The sequence below is a fragment of the Homo sapiens genome, chromosome 1 (genome assembly GCF_000001405.40).
Source record: "Homo sapiens chromosome 1, GRCh38.p14 Primary Assembly".
Lineage (NCBI taxonomy): Eukaryota > Metazoa > Chordata > Mammalia > Primates > Hominidae > Homo > Homo sapiens.
Window position 1 is genome coordinate 110,162,277 of NC_000001.11, and position 13,965 is coordinate 110,176,241.

The following is a 13,965-nucleotide window of genomic DNA, read 5'->3' on the forward strand; positions in this document are numbered from 1 at the left end:
CAGGGCAGACAGAACTTACCTTTCGCATCCATTGTTACAGGTGCCTGGGGCAGGTGGCTTCTTGCTCACACCCATAAGCAGGAGGGACTCTCAACAGATATATGCTAGAGCTGAAGGGGGTCTTGGAGGCCATCCATGCCAACCCATTTTACACACAGGAAAACTGAGATCCGGAGAAGTTAGGGCAATAGTACCAGTTTGCACGGTAGGTTGGTCAGGCCCAGCACCTAGCTGGCCTGCTGATGCCTGGATTATGGCTGGTTCCATGAGATACATGGGTACGGGAAGAGAGGAATCGCCCCTCTCAGGGTCCTTCTCTGATCCTGATGCTTCTCCCAGACAAGGCTTTGGGGTCATTGGCTGGGTACACTTTGGATTCCCAGGCCCTGCCTGCTCTAAAAGCTCACCTTTCACCAGCACATGGCTTCAGGGAACTGGGGGTGGAGCAGGGAGGGTTATTCCAAGTCACTATTTCCACTGGGGTATGAATTGAATGAGAGCTGAAGAAGAGGTACCATTCATGAGCACTTCTTGGGTGCCGGCATGGTTCTAAGACCAGTACAATGTATCCTCCTCACAGTATGGTGAGGTGGGCACCGCTGGCACCCTCCCTTGACACATGAGGAAACTGAAGCTCAGAGAGGCTAGAAAAGTTGCCCAGGCCAGGTGGCTGGCAAGCAGTGAGCTGGGGTTGGAACCCAGGCCATCTTACTCCTGAGCAGGATCACCAACCCATGTTGGTAAAAAAAAAAAAAAAAAAAAAAAATGGTTTTAAGCGGTCTCAAGCTATTCCAAACATGAGGTACATTTTAATAACAATAATGCTAAACTTTTAATACAGGCCGTGTTTTTATTAATAATAATATTGCTGGTCTTTTGGGTCCAAGCTGGTAGCTGCGGGACCTTTGCCTGGCTTCCTTTGACACTGGGGTGTGGTGCATGGTAGGACTTTCTAGGGGGTGCCCTAGGTGGACACCAGTTCTGGAGAAGAAAGTGGGCATTGCTGAGGTGGTGCAGGATGCTTCTCTCCACCCACCTCCACTCCCATGGTCAGCTCTCCTTGGCCTTTCTTGAGAAGAAATGGGATTGATGGGACCAAATATCAATATGGGGACTTACATATTTTTTAAATGCATAAAGGTAAACAATGCAAGGCTTCCAGGCAGTGGCTGCTACCATTTGGGTCCTTTCTGTGTGCCAAGCTCTATGTCAGGCACTCTGTGTGCGGCTGCTCATTGGACCCTCACAGCAGCCCTCCCTGGGAGATGGGAGCCATCATTAAATGCAACCTTTTCACCCATGAGGAGACAGACGCTCACATAATTAAAGTGCCTTGTCCAAGAGCACACAGCTAGTGTGTGGCCAAGGCCCCAGGGCTGCCCACCTCCCTCAGAGCACCTGCCCCAGTCCTCACACACAGCACAGCCGTGCTCCTCCCTCCCCAGCACACCTCTCCCTGTCTCCGCCTCTCATTCTGCCCCGGGGCTCTGGCCACCTTGCTCTTCCTGGAATTCCCAGGGCTGTTTCCTTTTTGGGAGCTTTGTGTCTGCTGTTCGCTCTGCCAATGCTCTTTCCTGTCATTCACGCCTCTGCTCAAATGTCACTTCCTCAGAGATGCCCTTCCTGACTGCCCCCCAACCCCCGCATCCAGCATAAAAGAGCCACCTGCCAGCTTGCTCCACCCCTCCGGTGTGACTCCCCTGGAGTCACATGGAGATACATGGAGTCACCCCATGTATCACCCCTGGCCATTACATTATCCATCGATTTCTTTAGTATCCGGCCCTTCCACATGAAATGCAAACTCCACAAGAGGAGACACTTTGCCTGTTTTGTTTGCTGCTGTATCCCTCACACCTAGAACAGAGGCTGGCATATAGGAGGCACTCAGGAAATGTATGTCAGGTGAGTGAGTGAGTCAATGAATGAAGTGAGAACTCTCAACTCCAGGCCTGTCTGGCTTCACAGCTCATGCCTCCCACTCCCACACCCAGTGATCTTCTCCCTGTGTCCCCCACCTCTACTGAGTCTGACTCTGTCCCAGACAAGGCTCTGTTCAGGGTGTTAGGAGAACCTGAGTAGCTTTGGGCAATTCAGTTCCTCTCTCTGGGCCTCAGTTTGTTCAGAGATAAAATGGGAATGTTGAGTCGGACAATTGCTAGGGTCCCTCAAGCTTTAATTTCTGAGTCTGACCCTGTTGTCACCTGGGCATATTCACTGGACACAGAGGGTTCCAGTCATGACTGCAGCCCAGCCCAGTGCCTCAGCCTGGAGGTTTGTGCGAGCCCTTTGCATCCTGCAGACCTAATGGCACAGGAGTTCTTGGGCCCCCATCCCTCAGTGCGGGATGCGCATGGCGTCAGTGACATCTTGGGAAGAAGGAGGAAGCTCGTATTAGCTGATGCCCTGTGGTTGCTGGATGCTGCTGTAGGTATCCTCCTTCTGCTTTACCAGAATGTCCTGGAGTCCTCTTCTTTTAAAATGATGCTTTTTTCCTCCCAGCCCTTTCTCATCTTGGTGACCGAAGCTGCCACTCACTAGGCTATTTATGGAGAAACATGTGCTCCAATTGGTCAGCAGCAAGATAAATTCTGCAGACTTGCAGGAAACTCCCTTGGTTTTCTCTAGTTGTGGCTTGATGATCAGTAAATCATACCTAATGCACTGCTCTGATCAAACCCTGCTGCAGGCAGAGTGGCTGGAGACAGGCTCTGAGCCAAGGAACTCTAGTGATTGCAGGCTCCAGAGGGACCCCCACCCTTCTTCCCAGATCTCATCTTTAGTAACAGCTCTGTATGTAAGCTGTAGGGGACGGGGAGATGCCTTGACAGGCAGCCGTTTCTCTGTTTGCATGCCCTGCAGACGGGGACCTGCTGAGTGAGGAGAGGAGCTCGCCCTGGCAGCCCAGGCAAGGACACAGGCCTCTCCGTTGCGTAACTCCTAGGGCCGTACTTCACTTGTGTAGCACAGGCAACACGGCAGCCCTGGGGGGAGGCCCAGGGCTGAAAGTTCCACAGATGCACAAGTGCCACCCGTGGGGCACCTTTTAGGATGCAATGGGGTGTTCAACTGACCCACTGGGAAGTGAGTCCCAGCAGAGAGCTTCTTATAGGGAATTCTGTGGTCCTCTAACCAGGCTGGCCCTGTCATAGTTACCCCAAAGCCTAACCCTGTCTATGCTTGAGGTGTGAGGGGGCAGTCACTAAAGACTCACTGTTCCCTTGGAAGAGGAGGGCAGCAGGTGTCACCTGCTAATGTGGTCCAAGACCTGGCCTACGGAGGGCTAGCCAACCCCATAAACCTCCCAGTTTCATTACATGTGTAACAGGGCCTGGCTGGCAGGTCTCCTTGATGGTCAGGCCTTGGCTGGGGTCAGCCAGGATGTCTGGGTCAAGGCTGGCAGGAAGGACGGGCCTGGCCCTTGAACTGCACAGCAGCCTTGCCTGTGCCATTCAGGTGGCACGTACCTACGAGGAGAACAAACGGAGCCCAGCTTCCAGAGACAGCTCTTTCCCTTAATAAAGTAATTACAGAGCTGGGTAAGTTACATCCCTAGAAAGATGCAGGGCAACCGCAGGCTGGGGTGTGTGTGTTTAATTTTAAATCCTCCAACCTTCCCTTAATGAGGGGGTGCCTTGAAATATAACGGAATGGTGGAATTCTTCAAAGGCTTCGTTTTCTTGGTGCTTTATTTCTTTAAGGGAAAGCATGAAAGACAAATGAGGACTGGCAGGAGTAGGGGAGGGTTTTGCCTCCTCCGCCCATGTCGTGCAGACATTATCTGCTGTAAAACTGTCGCTGAAGGATGGAGAACCAGCTCTTGGCTGCAGAAGTCCTCAGATAATGTCAGTGCTGAGCAATGACCCAAGATTCATTGGCACTGAGCAAACAGCCCTTGGCTTCTGGTGCCAGAATCTTTAGCTGAGCCTGGTCAACCAGTCCAGCTAGGGGAATGGAGATGCCATCGGCACTGGTGTCCAGGGGCCCCCTGGTGATGGCTCAAGAGCCTTTTTTTTTTTTTTAAATCACCTGGGGATCCTGTAAAAAGGCAGAGATTGATTCAGGAGGTCTGGTGCGAGCCTAAGATGCCCCTTTCTAACCAGTTCCTGGTGCAATCCCTGCATTTTGAATGAAAAGGCCCTAAGGAAGGAAGGCGCTGGCTTCCGTGGCTTCCGCCATGTGGTTTTGGCTAAGCAGAACACCTGGAAGGGGAAGGCTGTATGGGCCTCCAAAGGGGCTTGAGCACTCTAAGCTCTGCAGTATGGAAGAGGGAAATGTCTTCACGGATAATGCTCTACTTGGGTTCGGAGTATGGCTTTGCCTATTTTGCCCCTTTAGGTTTACTTTTCAAATAATGCTCGGGTCAAGCCTCTGGAGAAACTGAGTCTGTAGGCCTTGAGCTCCTCACCGGGCAGCCCCTGATGGGGAGCTAGGGCAAGCTGCATATATGAGGCCCTTGACCTGCCTCACAGTGTGATGGGGAGTTAATTTGGGTTGTGTCCACGTTGGGCTCCTCACCTTCCTGGTGTGGTCAGATAATCCTTTACTGCTCACCTGGTTTCCTAGGTCCCTGAATGAGAAGGAGCTGACAGCAGCTGAATTCCATCTTCTCTGTGTGCTGGGGAGCAGGGCTACACGGCCCAGGTGGCATCAATGCCGAAGAACAGCAAAGTGACCCAGCGTGAGCACAGCAGTGAGCATGTCACTGAGTCCGTGGCCGACCTGCTGGCCCTCGAGGAGCCTGTGGACTATAAGCAGAGTGTACTGAATGTGGCTGGTGAGGCAGGCGGCAAGCAGAAGGCGGTGGAGGAGGAGCTGGATGCAGAGGACCGGCCGGCCTGGAACAGTAAGCTGCAGTACATCCTGGCCCAGATTGGCTTCTCTGTGGGCCTCGGCAACATCTGGAGGTTCCCCTACCTGTGCCAGAAAAATGGAGGAGGTAAGAGACAGCTCTGCCTGCATCAGGGGTCCCCTGCAAATAGGCCGGGGATGAGGGGTAAAAAAGAACACCCCTTTGCTGAGGCAGAACTGGAGCCCTTGTAGGTTGGAGCTCAGGATTCCAGAGTAAGACAGCCCAGGAATAGCTATAATGATGGTTAGTAGCTACCAAGAGACTACAGGACATGATAAGAAAGTGGGCTCTGGCCCCAGACTGCCTGGGTTCAGATTCCAGCCCTGCCAATCAACTTTGGGACCTACTACAAATTGCTTAACCTCTCTGTGCCTCATCTGCAAAATGAAAATAATAGTAGCTCCTGCCTCATAGGATAGTTGGGAAGATTAAATGAGCTTTACGTGCAGAATGGGCAACACGCTACCTGACACGGTAAGGAGCACCTGTTGGCCATTATTACTAAATGCTTATGAGGTACTAGGCACTGTTCTAAGGGCTTAATGGATATTAGGGCTAAGTGCCTGAAACTGCTGATATTTGAGCATCTTAGAACAACAAAGCACCAATTTTATGTGATTCAACCATCGAATCCTCCCAACAGCCTTATATGAAGGAGTTGTTATCATCCTTGTTTTACAGACTACAATACTGAGGCACAAATTGGTTAGATAACTTGTTCAAGGTTGTGGGTGATCAAGGTTACAGCTAGTGATAAAGTCAGGATGCAAACCTGGACAGGCTTGCCCAGAGCCTGGGCACTTAGCCTCCACACCTATTGCTTCCGGGTAGGAGGGGCCTTCACACTGCCCCCTAGGCTTGAATCCCTCTTGAGGATGTTGCCCCTGGTATCAAACCACTACCACCACTTCCAGCCCCCAGGAATTGTCCAAAGGCAGCTTTCCCTGAAACCAGAGATCAACTAACTAAAAATAAAGAAAACCCCAATAGGCTGGAAACAAAGAGTTTTGCAAGCCCAGACCTCTGGTCCTGGGAAAGTCAACTAGCAAGAGCTCTTGTGCTCCTGAGTCCCTGTGCCTGGCATGGCATGCTCCAGCCTGTTGGGTGGCCCCAGCTTGGCAGGCATTTTACCCCAGTCCTTCCTTCCTTGCTTGTGGAACTCTTGCCATGTAACCTTTTCCAAAGACGCAGTCCCCTCCTCTCCAGGATGCATCTTTCCCTAGTTTAGAAGGCCACATTTGGCTGGGAGGCTTCTCCTTTCCAGTTTCTTTTGAAGGGCAGGGAGTGAGAATGCCCACCTGAACTCTTGTGATTGAATTAGGCCAAAGGCTTCCATCTTTCCCCCATAGCATGTTATATTAGCTGCATGGTCTCCTTGCTTGAAAGATCTTTTTTACTTTTTAATAAGTAACTGTCAATCAGAGCTTGTGGCCTGCATGGCATGGTAACTGAGTTGATGTAAGACTAGCCCAAAGCAAAGATATACAAGTATATGGTTTCTTTATGCCCTGTGAGATGTTGAGAAGAGCTCCAAGGCAACCAAAATGACTTCAAAGGACGTGTGGCATTGGAGGACTTAGCTGGGAACTTCTAACCTTGTTCTTTCTAGCTTAGATGATCAGTTCTGCCTGGGCACTTGGTGATGAATTCCAGAATCCCTTTCTATGCCACACACAAGCACTCACACCCAGGGCAGTGTTCTTGCCACAGTCTGATTGTTCACAGTGACACCAATCACCATGGCACCAGACATAAAGAACTACCCTAGAGGAAAAGCATTGTCAACTCTCAGAATTCTGAGCTTTCCATTCCACATTCCTGCCTTCCTTTTTCTATCTTCTCTGATTCCTGCAATCCCTTTTTATCTCTACCTTTAACTGTCCAGTATTTTTACAGGTTTTTCTTTGTTTGTTTTTTGAGACAGAGTCTATATCAAGTTGTCTTAAATATTTTTTAGGAGGAGGCAAATTATCACAGGAAGGAGACAGCTGTTTGGTCTGAGAGTTGAGTCTGTGCTTTTGAGCCATAGTCGATGTAATCAAACTTTGCATAGTTCTGGACAGAAACTCTGGAACACTCTCCTTAGCTCCACGAAATGTTGACATCTTCCTAGTTTGCTTTTTCTTCTGTTTATTTTTATGAGAAAAAGGCAAATGTTCAACCAGTGCTTACTATGGGTAAGCCACTCATTCAATCTTTGCAACAGCCCTGTGTGATAGGTGTTGGGTCAAAGCTTATGAAATGGCCATTTTTGTAAGTCAAAAATGGTCAAATATCAGCAATTTTATACGTAACATTTTCATCCTCTTTACCCAGATGAGAAAACCAGCAGCACAGAGAGATTAAATAATTTTCCCAAAGTCACACAGCTAGTAAGTCATTAAAACCAAGAGGTCTGACTTCGGGACCTGGCTCTTACCACCAAGATGGTCTTTTAAACCCCAGGAATAACCTCGGGGTTTGCCAGAAGTAAGGCTTAGAATACTGACCGAGGCATAGATGATTAGAGATCCAGAAGGCCTCAGAGATCCTGGATCCTGGCCCTGTCCTGATAAATCTCCTAACATCCTGAACAGTGCTCCCCGCTATTCGGATGAACAACTTTAGGCTCCTGAAAGCTGTTGAAACATAAAAGGAAATCCAGTTGTGTCCCCAAGTTGTATTTTCTAAGGCGGAAGAGGATGCTGTTGCATTTCAAGTGATTGCAACAAAGGTTGATATGAAAAAATACCTCTTATTAACCACAAATTCTGCCTATCTTGACCGCGGCCCCCTGAGCACTCTGGTTAGTTTAGGCCTTGGTGTGGTAGAGAGACCTGCAGTCACTTCAGGGCCTGGCGGCCTGCCTGAGGTGGACAGAGCCTGGATGGTGAGGGGCCAGTACCTTGTCTTTGCTCTCCCACCCCTGTCACTCTTTGGCGGCAGTTACCTGGAGGCTTTCCCTGGTTCTTTGGGGAGAAAAAAGAGGCATCCATAGAAGGTGCCAACCCACTTTGCAGACACCCTGAAACTCACATCCCTGCACATCTTGCCCCACCCAGAACACTGGGGCGAAATACAAAACCAGTGAGGCTGGCTGGGCGCAGTGGCTCACACCTGTAATCCCAGCACTTTGGGAGGCCGAGGCGGGCGGATCACGAGGTCAGGAGATCGAGACCATCCTGGCTAACATGGTGAAACCCCGTCTCTACTAAAAATACAAAAAATTAGCCGGGCGTGGTGGCGGGCGCCTGTAGACCCAGCTACTCGAGAGGCTGAGGCAGGAGAATGGTGTGAACCCGGGAGGCAGAGCTTGCAGTGAGCCGAGATCGCGCCACTGCCCTCCAGCCTGGGCAACAGAGCAAGACTCCCTCTCAAAATAAAAACAAAAAACCGGTGAGGCTGTCTCCGTTTGCCTTCCTGCAGCAGATCACTTAGCTTCTTTTCCATTTCCCCACACCCAAAACCAAGAGACCGAGTTAAAGACAGACCCAGGGGTCTAAGCATGTGGCCCTTTGGGCCCTCTCTCCTTTGAGCCCTCTCTCCTTTGAGCACCATGATGGGGCTGCTTGTTAGTGACGAGTTGAATGTATGTGTGCGTGTGCATCTAGTGAGTTAGATGCTGTCATATAAAGCTCGGTGGGTTGCCTCCCCGATGGGCTTTCCTGACTAGCTCCATTGGACCCTGGCCCATTCCTCAGCATGTATGTGCATGGTTGGCTTGTGTGACTAGTCTGTGGTGTGTGTGTGTGTGTGTGTGTATACATGTGTGCTCATATTGCTCACGTGACTCTGCCTGCCTCCCCGGCAGATCGTGAACTGTTCTAGGATGGTGTCTGTGCCTACTGTTACTCCACTGTCCCCCCGCTGCCTGTGCAAGGCTCAGAGTGGACCTGCAGTAAATAGCTGATTGTTGCCAACTGCCAGAATTTGTGCCTAGGAGATGGCTGATTGCCAGTGTTCATTGGCAGATTGGGCACACGTTGGTGAACATGTGGGATGTTATGTTATGGGGGCAGAGCAGTGTAGCTGGGGGCTTCTGGAGGCTCTCTACTGGCAAGGCTTAGTCAGAGGGTGCTGGGTGACCATCAGGGCCCTGGTGACTGGGGCTGGCCTGACAGTGTTTGACAGACAGGCAGGGCCTTGCTAACAGGACTAGGTTGTTGGCACAGCTCTCAGCAGGGTGCACTCATCTGTGTCCAGACATGGTTTTAATTCTCCTGCTAAATGCCCTGTCACTTGGAATTGAGATTGTTTCTGCAGTGAGGCCCAGGACAGCGAGATTAATTTATCATCTGGAATCTTTAGCGAGACCCATTCTATCCTTTATGATCCTCCTGGCTATGCTTTCCTGAACTGCTAATTTCTCTCCCATTCCTCTCAATTAGCTGTAGATTAGTGGCAAAGCTGGTCAGACCCCCTCTCCCTGGAGAGCTTCCAAGCTCAGCTTCCCTGGAGCTGCCCAGTCTGCTGTGTCAGCGTCTGGTTCAGACGCTGGGAAGGCTGCACCCGGTGTCTGTGCATCTGGGGGCGAGTAAGCCCCCATGCCATCTGGGGCTGCTTCTCTGTGGTCAGGAGGGGGTGTGAACAGCTGTCCACGGAGCGCCTCATGAGGTGAGTGTGTCTGCTGCGTGTGGCTTGACATGTGGATTCTGGAGAGGCAGTGCAATGTCTGTCTGTTTCTGAACCTAGCCTTGTGAGTTGACATACATACACTTCCTCCCTTAGTGTTTCGGGTCAGGGGAGTCAAGGGGGAGAAGGAGGGTCTGGGTGGGCTGCTGTGTGGTAGGCCACACGTATGGCCACATCATTCATGGAGGAGCACCGGGACTGGTGACAATTTGCGGATGACCAGAGATGTGGCTGAGACTGGAAGACATGGCTGCGGCCCCTTCCCTCACTCTGCTGCTGTGCTCCAGAGCCCCTCTGCCATCCCTCTGCTCTCCCCACAGGTGCTTACCTGGTGCCCTACCTGGTGCTGCTGATCATCATCGGGATCCCCCTCTTCTTCCTGGAGCTGGCTGTGGGTCAGAGGATCCGCCGCGGCAGCATCGGTGTGTGGCACTATATATGTCCCCGCCTGGGGGGCATCGGCTTCTCCAGCTGCATAGTGAGTCAAGGGCTGGGGCAGGCACTGAGTGGGAGGCAGGGGGCTGCTCCTGGGCATTGGAGACGAGGTCACCGAGTTTCCAGGCCAGAGTCCTACGTCAGGACAAGGGCAGGGAGGGGGATCCTCAACATGGGAATTACTCACAGCTGGGGTTCCAGGACCCCAGTCACCATGTTTCCTAAACTGAGAGTCGACCACGTTGCCTGAAACAGCATGGAAGATTTGCCATTGGTGCTAAGGAGGAAAAGCTGGGACATATTCACATGGGGCCGCCTGGGACAGCTCAGCCAGAGTTCTCTGGGAACATATGGACTAGCCCAGATGCCCTTCTCTGCTTATCAGTCCCTCAGCTCCCCATGAGGGAGGTCCCTCCTCTTTCCTTGGTCAAAGAGTATTTTAAGCAGGCAAGCAGGGAGCTCAGGAAAAGGCAGGCCTGGGGCTCAGGGTCTCCTTGCCATTTTGCTATGCCAAAGAGCAGAGTTGGAGAACTTACACAGGAAACTTAAGGTCAACCCAAGGTGGGTGAGGCTTTGGAACAGTGAGAGACAGGGAGACGCCAGTGGCCCTGGATGGAGAACTTTGTGAGGTCTCCAGGCTCATCCACAAGGCTACAGATGAGAACCTGCTCAGAGCTCTACGTGAGGAAACAGCATCCCTTAAGGGCAAAGCCTACAGGGAACCATGCTCACTGCTCACACCTGGGATAAAGACTGAAATGAACTTCTGGAAGGGACTAAGGATTCTGCCAGGCCTGGCAGTAGGGCCAGCCCAAACTTGCCTCAGGCAGAGACTGGGAGAGGGCCTATTGCAGCCCCCTGCTCTCACGTCAGCCATCAGCTTTGCACTGGCCAATGCCGTGTATTCTGCTGGGGCTGGCTGTGTGCTGATACACAGGAGTGTGTGTATGGTCTCCCACTTGGACTGAAAGAACCCAAGTAAAAGAAGTGGGTGTCTCACTCTGTCTGTGCTCCCAGAAGGGTCTGCTCTATGAGCAGCTGCTCCTGCACACATGTGCTCAGGTGAGACTGATGAAGCAAGCGGCCCTCAGCTCTCACACTGGCGCCAGTCTCACTGATGCAGGAGACAGCCAGGCCTCTGGAAGGGACCACCCTGTGTCCAGAGTGGATGCAGCAAATCCCTGCCCATAGAAACATTGCTTTCAAAGAAGCCCCTTGGACCCTCAGGCAGAGTCCATGCACTCCTATTTTAAATAAAATTCTACCAATGTTAGTTATTGTGTTTCCAAGAAATGACAAGTGCCATCTTTCTAGAGGCAGGCTGCTAACATGCCCGAGAGAGTGGAATCCACAAGAAACACCCACAAAGTCTCTAAAAGCACAGCAGTCTGGGTTTGTTTACCATAGGGGCCAAAGCTGTGCATGCCTTCACAGTCCTGGAGGGCATCTCTGTCATTACAATCCCCAGTCATCAGGAAATGAGGAGGAGAAAGTACTTCAAGTATCTTAGAAGAATTTCAAACTGGAAAGGATTAACATTTTAAGAGTTTGTTGCTTAAAAGAGAGAACTTTAACATCTGAAAAATTCCTTTGTGGATTTCCTGAATACCAGATGAATGGAGCGTGAATGGAGCGTGAGGGGAGCTCCTCCACGGCCCGCACCCTATCCCTCCTTGCCTCTCTTGAGGCTGTGCTGCTGTGTTTATGGCGCTGCCGACGTGCTGGGCCTCGGGTGGAGCGTGGGGGCAGGGTGGAGTTGCCTGCAGCCTCAGTGACCCCGCAGTGGGCTTGTCCCCAGGTCTGTCTCTTTGTGGGGCTGTATTATAATGTGATCATCGGGTGGAGCATCTTCTATTTCTTCAAGTCCTTCCAGTACCCGCTGCCCTGGAGTGAATGTCCTGTCGTCAGGAATGGGAGCGTGGCAGGCAAGTATGGGGCCCAGCTGGGGATGCCAGCCAGCCCTGTCCCAGGAAGGGGTCTCACAAGCTTAGCGCACACATTTGGAATTTCAGACTTGTTGTGTCCCCTTGGATAAGTCACTTAACATCTCTGATCCTCATTTCCCCTTCCCCAGTGGGAATGGTCTCTTTTCCAGCCTATTTCTGACAGGATTGAATAAGACAGTGAGTGTAGGTAAAACTCTGGAAAGCGTGACTTTAACTGTTATTACTCACCCTGTTATTCCACTTCACAGATGAGGAGACTGAGGCCCAGAAGCGACTTTCCCATGTTCACACCACTCATCTAACCAATGATCTGGGATGAGAATCCAGGTCTCTAGCTCCCAGCTCAGGACCTTCCCCGAGGAACTTTAGGCCAATTCAGCCTCACGTTTCCTCCCTTCCATAGAGAGACATGGGCAGCAGGAGGCATGGGTGGGAATCAGCCAGGCTGGTGTGTCCTGAAGCCTCCCAGACCCCAGTGGGAGCCTAGGATTCCTCAGGGTCTGCCAGATCCCGGCTAACCCAAGATGAGCACAGCCCCTCCCAGCTGCCCACCCTCAGCAGCTCCCTCACCCACTGCTGCCCTGAGTGGTGGTCCAGCAGAGGAAGTGACCCCATAGGCCCTGCCACTGAGGCCCTGTGACCTTTGCTGCTATTTCAGTGGTGGAGGCAGAGTGTGAAAAGAGCTCAGCCACTACCTACTTCTGGTACCGAGAGGCCTTGGACATCTCTGACTCCATCTCGGAGAGTGGGGGCCTCAACTGGAAGATGACCCTGTGCCTCCTCGTGGCCTGGAGCATCGTGGGGATGGCTGTCGTTAAGGGCATCCAGTCCTCGGGGAAGGTGAGTGCTGAGGGGGGCACCCAGGACCCAAATGGGGAACAGCAGAAAGGCACAGAGGGCACAGGGCTAAGAATTCCAGGCTGCCCTTTGCAGGGTCTTCTGGGTGGATAACACAGGCCCCCAGAGGAGGGTGTGGAAGTATCATTCCTATAGTGTTGCTCACCATGGACAGCCTACCCGGAATGGAATAGCTGGAAAGTCATTGCCCTGGACCCCAGCTGCTTCCATGCTCAGATAACTCAGTCCTGCTCTAATGCAAACATTAGAGAGGAGGAAAACTAGAAGTATTGACCCAGGGACGTCTGTCTAGATTCTAGACCCTCAGGTTCCCAAGAGCAAAAGCCCTAGAAGAGCCTGCTTTGAGCAGTTCTTGGTGAAAACCAGCAGCTTGCCATGCCTACAGCTAAAGGGCCCTTTGAGCAGGTAGACGCTATGAGTGAAGGGGGCCTTAGAGGCCTCAGGGGGCAGCTCCATAGCAGTCTCTGAGGGGTAGACCAGCCAAGCCCCACACCTCTTCCCAGCATTTCAGATCCCCTTTAAATAAGGGCCCTTTCTTACTTGTCACATACCAGTATTCATGGGCTGCCAGGGATGAGAAGGATTGGATTAGAGATCCTGTATCCCAGACTACTCATTTTACAGATGAGGAAAGTGAGGCCCAGAGAGGGGAAAGCACCTCAGCTAACATCACGCAGCCAGTCAGTCTCAGAGCTGCAACTAGAACCCTGGCTGTTTGAGGCTTCGGGTTCTTTTCCAGATTTGATGAGCAAGGAAGCTAAGCTCTAGAAAGGTAGAGTGACCCCAGCCATTGACCTCTTCCCTTTCCAGAGGCTGAAATAGTAGCTGATGCTTTGTGGCACTTCTCAGGTACTGCCACCTGTATGAACGCATTTGGTCCACAACAACGTTATGAGTTAGGGATGATTACACCCATTTTAGAGATGAGGAGATGGAGGCTCATGGAGGTTAAATGAAATGCCTGAGGCCACATGTTGGTAAGTGGTAGAGCCAGGGTTAGAACTCAGGCAGCCTAACACCAGACTTGCATTCTCTTAGCCTTTACACCACCCTGCCCAAACAGCCCTCTTCCTTTGTTTCAGTGCAGCAAACATTTTGTGAGCATCTCGTGTGAGGCCATGTACCACGCACGCAGGGATATAGACATGTGCGAGAAATGCTGTGGTAGAGAAGAGCACACGATTCATCCTCACAAGGGGCTAGGGACTTCTTCAGATGTCTTCTGTTTGGGAGCCGTGTCTATAACCTCCTGAAGGTCTTCCG

The 13,965-nt window shown here is 51.6% G+C and overlaps 1 protein-coding gene and 1 long non-coding RNA gene across 2 annotated transcripts in view; one reads left to right on the plus strand and one right to left on the minus strand.

Annotated features, from left to right (window-relative positions):
- The window catches only part of SLC6A17 (solute carrier family 6 member 17), a 51,709-nt gene that overhangs the window by 11,783 nt on the left and 25,961 nt on the right, over positions 1-13,965 (plus strand). The window contains exons 2-5 of the mRNA NM_001010898.4: positions 4,567-4,939; positions 9,784-9,941; positions 11,697-11,823; positions 12,503-12,684. Coding sequence (NP_001010898.1) covers positions 4,654-4,939; positions 9,784-9,941; positions 11,697-11,823; positions 12,503-12,684 — 753 coding nt within the window. The 5' untranslated portion in view covers positions 4,567-4,653. The remainder of the gene's footprint in view (positions 1-4,566; positions 4,940-9,783; positions 9,942-11,696; positions 11,824-12,502; positions 12,685-13,965) is intronic.
- Positions 3,672-6,575, minus strand: SLC6A17-AS1 (SLC6A17 antisense RNA 1). Its single transcript, NR_183667.1, has 3 exons — positions 6,151-6,575; positions 4,555-4,917; positions 3,672-4,038 (listed from the first exon to the last, which is right to left on the minus strand). It is a non-coding gene; the product is annotated as an SLC6A17 antisense RNA 1 (long non-coding RNA).